General features: G+C 40.4%; 1 pseudogene; it reads left to right on the forward strand.

The window, feature by feature from the left end:
• On the forward strand, positions 2654-6617 carry MSNP1 (moesin pseudogene 1; annotated as a pseudogene).

A 9142-nucleotide genomic window follows, 5' to 3' on the forward strand; every position in this document is an offset into this window, starting at 1 on the left:
TATAGGAGGTTTTAAATGGGAAACAGAATTTTAGTAAGACAAATATCTATGTAAGATAGGTGAACACCGGTAGAATATAGAGTTTCTCTCTTTTTTTGTGTGTGTTTTTGTTTTTATAAATAACCTAGAGAAAAGAAAAACTAAATGTGTTTTTAGATGACCTTTCCCTGGCCAATAAATAGTTACAGTGGAGTTGATATTCACAAGCTATGGTGACTGATTACATGTGAGAAATGTGGAAGGTACATGAATCTGCCACGCATAGACCCAACTCTTACTCAAAACTTCATTCTGAGTGTAGTTACCAGGTGACGGTGCTCTGTTACATGATGAAAGAAAAGCTAAAATCTAAAATGCTGGAACACAAAAATATTTTGTTTCTAACATTTTGTTGAAAATTTTTTTTGTTTTTATTTTTTCTTCGTATTTATAACTGAAAAAAAGAAAAAAAATTAAAATAAGATAAAATGGGAAACTTGAAGCTGGGTTAAATGAAAAAATATATTGGTATATTTAACATATTCTACAAGAAGAATGTTACATGTAAGAAAATGTTTTTATATGGTTCAGAGTGATTGGGAGAGAGGATAAATGAAACTCTAAAAACCAGCATAAAAAAGCTAAAGAAGAAAGAAGACTGACTAGCTACAAAAGCATTATTTTTTATAAAACACCCAAAATGAAAGGTATGAAGAAGACAAAGTAAAAGGCTTGTGACCAGCTACTGGATAGGTATGATTTTAAAAAGCAAATCGAATAGAAAAGCAAAGGAATTTAGTTCAGCTATACAGGATAGTTTGGACTTTGACTTACATTACATTTTGCTTTCTTTCTGAAAGTTTCTGCTTACCGAAAATACAGGAAGTGTTACTTTACAAAATAAGGAGTCTGTGTGTCAGAATTCTTTATATGACTTTGATTATGTTTTAAAATTTATACCATCCTTTTGACTTTCCCTTTCTGTTCTGTCATGGGGATTAGTGGGAGTTGGGGAAGGAATATGTTTGGTAAGCTCTGTCGCTTATACTGGAAGTAGGTTTCTTATATTTTTGATATAGTAACAAATCAATCAATCAATAACATTTTGAAACTTAGTGGATTCTCAGCTGCAAAATCTAAGTGAAAGGCAACCAGTCTAAGGTATTTGGGGATTTGCTGGTATATAGGTTTATATGAAGGAGAAGGGCCCCTGTGACTAGTGAAAAGTAGAGCTTATAGAGGCAATACCACAAATTTCACCAGGAAAGGTAATCCCTTTCAATCAAACCGTTGGTTTATCACTTCAGAACTGATTGGTTACAGTGGGGTATGGCCTGGTGGAATGCTAAAATTCAGTTTGTTGAGTCTAGCAAAAACAATTCAAAATGTATTATCATTTAGTTTTCTGCTGTCTGACCAGTTTTCCTAGAAACAATTGTTTTGATTCTTTTTTTGTTTGTTTGTTTGTTTTGTTGAGATGGAGTTTCGCTCTGTCACCCAGGCTGGAGTGCAGTGACGTGATCTCCGCTCACTGCAAGCTCTGCCTTCCGGGTTCATGCCATTCTCCTGCCTCAGTGTTTTGATTCTTTTGTCTGTGGTCCTGACTGTTAGCTACTTTACACCCTTAGGCTCAAGCCTGTCCAGAGGGTAAAACTTAATTAATGTATTTTTTTGTATCACTGTTTTATTGATGGTTAATATTCAGTGCCCAGAACAGTGCATACCATATTGTACATATAATGTAGTTGTTTATTAAATGCAAGGATAAATGTCAAAACTTTGTTAGCATCTTGCATAAACTTGGGCTCATCTGAGGGCTTTTAGTTATCACTGGCTTGGCAATGAAGCAAAGCAGTAGGTTAGAGAATTTACCCCAGAGTTCAGTTGCATGGTTTTCTTTTTCATATCCACTATTTATTAGCTATGCAAATTTGGGAGGTACTTTTAAATTTGTGTGTCTTGATTTTCTCTTCTATAACATAGAAATATTATTTTTTGGGTTCATTGTTAATATTAAATTGTGAAGTGTCTAATATATGCCGTGCAATCAAAGTTAGCTATTGAAAAAATTAAGGTGTATAAAGGATATGCTATAATAACAAAACAGCTGCCACAGCTGGAACAACATAAAACCTTTCTCGGAAGCAAGAACATTAATTCAGTGAACATCTACATATGAGAAGGCAAGGCACAGAGTAATGAAGCACTGACTTTTATTTGGATTCTGACACTTCTGTTTTGGCCCTAGCACTGCCCTTTACTACCATACCACAGAGGTACTGGCTGTATAATTTAACCTTTTTGAGTTTCAGTTTTCTCCTCTATATGTAACAGATAATAATGCGTGCTAAGTTTTAGATATTGTGTAGATAAGATAATTGCCTCTCATATTTCTCAAATCTGCATTATCATTCCACTCTCTTGCAATGTGCACAATTGGATTAATTAAATGGTTTCTCAACTGGTGAGGTCACCTGCAAGTAGGTCCCTCTTACGCTCTCTGAAGCTAAATAAATAGTTTTTATAATTTTTATCAAAACATAGACAATTTATGTTCTTTGAAGAGAGAAAGTCTGGGCAGGGCAAGGCCAGCCGTCGGAGGGGAGGCGGGCGCGAGGGCGGGGAGCGGCGCGGAAGCCGGGCCACGTAAAGGAGCGGGCGGCTCAACAGAGGCGGCTCTTGCCTGGGTGGGGTTTGTGAAGTCGTGGCCCGTTAGCAGGAAGCCTAACAGTCGCCCCGACGCTAGTGAGGGACCCAATCTGAGTCCCCGGCCAGCCGAATCCCAGCCGTGTGTACTGCATGCTCAGCACTGCCCGACAGTCCTAGCTAAACTTCGCTAACTCCGCTGCCTTTGCCGCCACCATGCCCAAAACGATCAGTGTGCGTGTGACCACCATGGACGCAGAGCTGGAGTTTACCATCCAGCCCAACACCACCGGGAAGCAGCTATTTGACCAGGTGGTGAAAACTATTGGCTTGAGGGAAGTTTGTTTCTTTGGTCTGCAGTACCAGGACACCAAAGGTTTCTCCACCTGGCTGAAACTCAATTAAGAAGGTGACTGCCCAGGAAGTGCGGAAGGAAAGCCCCCTGCTCTTTAAGTTCAGTGCCAAGTTCTACCCTGAGGATGTGTCCGACCGAGGAATTGATTCAGGACACCACTCAGCGTCTGTTCCTTCTGCAAGTGAAAGAGGGCATTCTCAGTGATGATATTTACTGCCGGCCTGAGACTGCTGTGCTGCTGGCCTCCCATGCTGTCCAGTCTAAGTATGGGAACTTCAGTAAGGAGGTGCATAAGTCTGGCTACCTGGCCGGAGACGAGTTGCTCCCACAGAGAGTCCTGGAACAGCACAAACTCAGCAAGGACCAGTGGGAGGAGCGGATCCAGGTGTGGCATGAGGAACACCGTGGCATGCTCAGGGAGGATGCTGTCCTGGAGTATCTGAAGATTGCTCAAGATCTGGAGATGTATGGTGTAAACTACTTCAGCATCAAGAAAAAGAAAGGCTCAGAGCTGTGGCTGGGGGTGGATGCACTGGGTCTCAACATCTATGAGCAGCATGACAGACTAACTCCCAAGATAGGCTTTCCTTGGAGTGAAATCAGGAGCATTTCTTTCAATGATAAGAACTTTGTCATCAAGCCCATTGACAAAAGAGCCCCGGACTTTGTCTTCTATGCTCCCTGGCTGCAGATTAACAAGCGGATCTTGGCCTTGTGCATGGGGAACCGTGAACTATACATGCGCCGTCGCAAGCCTGACACCATTGAGGTGCAGCAGATGAAGGCACGGGCCCGGGAGGAGAAGCACCAGAAGCAGATGGAGCGTGCTATGCTGGAAAATGAGAAGAAGCGTGAAATGGCAGAAAAGCAGAAAGAGAAGATTGAACGGGAGAAGGAGCTGATGGGGAGGCTGAAGCAGATCGAGGAACAGACTAAGAAGGCTCAGCAAGAACTGGAAGAACAGACCCGTAGGGCTCTGGAACTTGGGAAGGAACGGAAGCATGCCCAGAGCGAGGCTGAAAAGCTGGCCAAGGAGCTTCAAGAAGCTGAAGAGGCCAAGGAAGTCTTGCTGCAGGCCTCCCGGGACCAGAAAAAGACTCAGGAATAGCTGGCCTTGGAAATGGCAGAGCTGACAGCTCAAATCTCTCAGCTGGAACTGGCCCGACAGAAGAAAGAGAGTGAGGCTATGGAGTGGCAGCAGAAGGCCCAGATGGTACAGGAAGACTTGGAGAAGACCCGTGCTGAGCTGAAGACTGCCATGAGTACATCTCATGTGGCAGAGCCTGCTGAGAATGAGCAGGATGAGCAGGATGAGAATGGGGCAGAGGCTAGTGCTGACCTACGGGCTGATGCTATGGCCAAGGACCGCAGTGAGGAGGAATGTACCACTGAGGCAGAGAAGAATGAGCGTGTGCAGAAGCACCTGAAGGCCCTCACTTCGGAGCTGGCCAGTGCCCGAGATGAGTCCAAGAAGACTGCCAATGACATGATCCATGCTGAGAACATGTGACTGGGCCGAGATAAATACAAGACCCTGTGCCAGATCGTCAGGGCAGCAACAAGCAGCACATTGACGAATTTGAGTCTAAGTAATGGGCACCCAGCCTCTAGGGACCGCTCCTCCCTTTTTCCTTGTCCCACACTCTTACACCTAACTCACCTAACTCATACTGTGCTGGAGTCACTAACTAGAGCAGCCCTGGAGTCATGCCAAGCATTTAGTGTAGCCATGGGACCAGCCCTAGACCCTTAGCCCCCACCCACTTCCCTGGGCAAATGAATGGCTCACTATGGTGCCAATGGAACCTCCTTTCTCATCTCTGTTCCATTTAATCTGTGTTGCTAGAATATTCCACTTCTCCAGCCCAGAGGTACTTTCCATTTGATTTTGCAAATACCCTTACACTTACTGTTGTCCTATGGGAGTCAAGTGTGGAGTAGGTTGGAAGCTAGCTCCCCTCCCCTCCCCTACCACTGCCTTCTTCTTCAGGGTCCTGAGATTTACAGGGTTGGAGTGTTTTGCGGTTTAGGGAATGAGACAGGACCTTGGATATCTGCTCCAGGCTGTCAATTAACCTAAAATTTGTCCTCCCAGTGCCCATCCCGTTTATAGTTATTTAGGCTTTGTAATGACTGGGGGATAGAAAGATGTTCAGTCATTTTTATTTCTACCTCCCAGATTGGACCTGTTACAAACTCAGCCTCAATAAGCCTTGTTGTTGACTTTAGGGACTCAATTTCTCCCCAGGGTGGATGGGGGAAACGGTGCCTTCAAGAGGCTTCACCAAATGTACTAGAAGGCCATTGGCCATTCTATTCTGGCAAGGCTGAGTAGAAGATCCTACCCCAATTCTTTACAGGAGTATAGGCCTGTCTAAAGTGAGCTCCATGGGCAGAGCTACCCCTTATTATTCCGGACCTGCAGTCACTTCGTGGGATCTGCCCCTCCCTGCTTCAGTACCCAAATCCTTTCCAGCTATAACAGTAGGGATGAGTACCCAAAAGCTCAGCCAGCCCCATCAGGATTCTTGTGAAAAGAGAGGATATGTTCACACCCAGCTTCAGTATTTTCCCTGCCAGGAGTTTTAGGTCTCTTCCTCTCTCAGAGCTACTTGGGCTATAGCTCCTGCTCCACAGCCATCCCGGCCTTGGCATCTAGAGCTTGATGCCTGTAGGCTCAACTAGGGAGTGAGTGCAAGAAGCTGAGTATGGTGAGAGAAGCCTGTGCCCTGATCCCAGTTTACTCAACCCTGTCACATGACCAAAATCCCCTTCTCATCACTCCCCTCCAAAGTGGTGACTAGGCCCTGCCTCTGTTTGACAAACTTCTAACCCAGGTCTTGACACCAGCTGTTCTGTCCCTTGGAGCTGTAAACCAGAGAGCTGCGGGTAATTCTAGCCTAGTCCCTTCCACACCCCCACGCCTTGCTTTCAACCCAGGAGCCTCCACCTCCTTCTCTGTCTCATGTGTACTCTTCTTCTTTCTACAGTGTTATGTATTCTACTGATACCTAAATATTGATTTCTGTCTTCCTTGCTAATGCACCATTAGAAGATATTAGTCTTGGGGCAGGATCATTTTGGCCTCATTCCTTTACCACTCCCACACCTGGAAAGCATATACTATATTACAAAATGACATTTTGCCAAAAATATTAATATAAGAAGCTTTCATATTAGTGATGTCATCTGTCACTATAGGTCATACAATCCATTCTTAAAGTACTTGTTGTTTGTTTTTATTATTCCTGTTTGTCTTCTCCTCAGGGTTCAGCCCTCAAGGGGCCACCCTGTCCCACCATAAAGAGCCTCTAGCTTAGAACCTCCCTCAATTCCCCGTCCACCACCCCCCACTCTGTGCCTGACCTTGAGGAGTCTTCTGTGCATTGCTGTGAATTATATTGGCACTCACTTGGTGATATGCCCTATATTGGCTAAATTCAAACTTGGAATTGTGGGGCAATCTATTAATAGCTGCCTTAAAGTCAGTAACTTACCCTTAGGGAGGCTGGGGAGAAAGGTTAAATTTTTTATTCAGGGTTTTTTTGTGTACTTTTTGGGGTTTTTAAAAATTGTTTTTGGAGGGGTTTATGCTCAATCCATGTTCTATTTCAGTACCAGTAAAATTTAGGAAGACAAAAAAAAGAAAAGAGAAAAAGAGAAAAGTGAAATGCTGAGGAAAAAAGGAAGGAAGGAAGGAAGGAAAGAAGGAGGAAAGGAAAGAAATGCCTGTGATCCCATTACACATGTATAACAATAACGTCTTATATGACATTAGTGGAATTTTATCATGTATGCAGTCTTTCTATGGTCATTTTTTAATACTGGTGGAATTAATTATCTTATGCCCACAATCCTCAAACACAGATAACTGATTTTTACATCTTGTTTTGCATTTTTATATTCACTTATCCGTGCTTCTATATTTACTTTATATTTATAGTGAATAAGATGTTGGCACATTTCTAGAATTATTGGCTTATATTTTTATGTTTTTTAAATCGTTATGATTAAGTGTGAGTTATTTGATAGTTTTAAGTTTATACATGGTATTTTTATGTTGGAAGTGCTGGATTCAAACAAGATGAATTAGGAAACTCTATATTTTATGGGGGAAGAGCACCAAAATAACTTCAGTAATTATAAAATTGTAGCTTCCTGAAAATTTAGTGAGTTGTTGGCTATGGAGCTACCTGGACTGGTACATTTAAATGTACATTTTTAATTACTTTTTCTTTGGTCAATTCTGTACTTATAGATCTATTAAACTTGTATGGTTTTCTTGAGTCAATTTAAATTTTGACAGAGATTCAGCTATTTCCTCTGGATTTTAAAAATTGTTATGGATAATTTTTAATATTTTCCATATCTATGATTATATCTGTTTTCTTGCTTCAAAATATTTTTGGAGGGGTCATATTTTATAAATCTCTACATTTTGTTTTCAATTTTACTGATTTCATATTTTATCTCTATTACGCTTTTCTTACTCCATTTTTATATTGCTTTATTTTTCTAGTTTAAGGTGACAACAAATCCAGTTTTTTGTTTGTTTGATTAGTAAAAAATATTCTTATGACTCTACCTTTTTACCTTTGAGTAGAGCTTTAATTTTCTCTTTTTGGACCAAGGTGCTTGTTTTTACTGAAGAAGAAAGACAATAATTGTGGATGATCTTAATTTGAATATGTAACCAAAACTGACAACATTTTTTTCCTATGATCTGAGTTAACTAGTTTACAAACTTTCTTCTCAATACAGATCAACAACAATGAAATTGTCTTCCTCCTTCTTTTCAAATTTTGCTTCACTATTTATTTGTCAGAGAAAATGAATAAACAGAATCAAGATAACACCCTCAGCTCTCACCACCAAATCTTTTCCCAAAACTGCACCTTGAGCACATATACTTTGTTTAAATCTTGTTAAAATGTATGAACAGTGTGTGCTCCTTACTTTACTGGACTATATGTCTTCATTCAGTTCCTGCACCATCATTCATGCACTACCATTTTTTCACTCCCTGAGAGATCATTCACATCATCATGCAATCATGATGAACTAACTGCAATTAGAATAATGCTTGCCCTTAACCCCACAATTCCTTCACACTCTTCTTGAGTCTTCTTTATAGCAAAACCCCTAAGTAGCCCTCTATCCTGGCTGTTTCTACTTTCTCACATTCCACTCTCTAAAATACTATAATTAGGATTTTATCCTAGCATACTATTAATCCACCATTGTTAAAATTACAACATTCATTCTGCCAAATCCAGTAGTCAATTCCCAAACTTCCTCTAAATTTTAATTTTCAATACAATCTCCGTCTTGTCTCTTGTCTTAATTTGTGTTTCTTCCCCTTTTGCTTGGTTCCTGTTTCTAAAATGTGCTATGATTCAGCTTTGGCTCTTTTTCTTCCTATCTGACTGTAGTAATGATTTCTGTTCTTCACTATACATTAGAAAAATCTGAATAAGGCTCAGGAATGGGTATTTTTAAAGAGGTTTACTTTTGTTGACAGGATTGAGATTCACTATCTTCCAAGAATCCTCACTATCTTCCAAGAATTCTCTAAGTGATTTTGTCCAAGTGTTGGTGATAGATATTGTATTTTGAATAGCTAAAAAATGGAAAAAAGTGGGATTAAAGTAAGACCAATGTTCCTATGATTACAGAGTTAAATAAACACCAGGAATGTGTTTTATAGAAATGTGCAAAATGGGGTTATAATAATGACATACTTAAATTTTAAAAAACAATCTCCCGCAGTGCCAAAGTCCCTGTAATTACTTGTGTGAAATTTATTTGTGTGAGGCATCTAATAACTAAGAAGATATAATTATAAATAAATGTATATTTTGAATGCATATTTGACTTTTGAATTTTAAAATGAAAGTTTTCATTTGCTAATATTTAACCTAAAATGCTTTATATATTACTTGTAAGAATACCATATGTAGTTTTGCTTAAATACCCTTTACTAGGGTTACTATATCAACAACCATCACAAATGTGTGTGTCTTCCAATAATGCATACATATTGTTAGAATGCATACCTTCACTCATGGCAGTGCTATTTGTAATAGCTTCAGCTAGACACTATTGAACTGTCCATCAAAACAAAATAGATCAGGCAAAACAAAATCCAAAAATAGTCAAATG

This window comes from Homo sapiens, chromosome 5 (genome assembly GCF_000001405.40).
Source record: "Homo sapiens chromosome 5, GRCh38.p14 Primary Assembly".
In the NCBI taxonomy this organism is placed as follows: domain Eukaryota; kingdom Metazoa; phylum Chordata; class Mammalia; order Primates; family Hominidae; genus Homo; species Homo sapiens.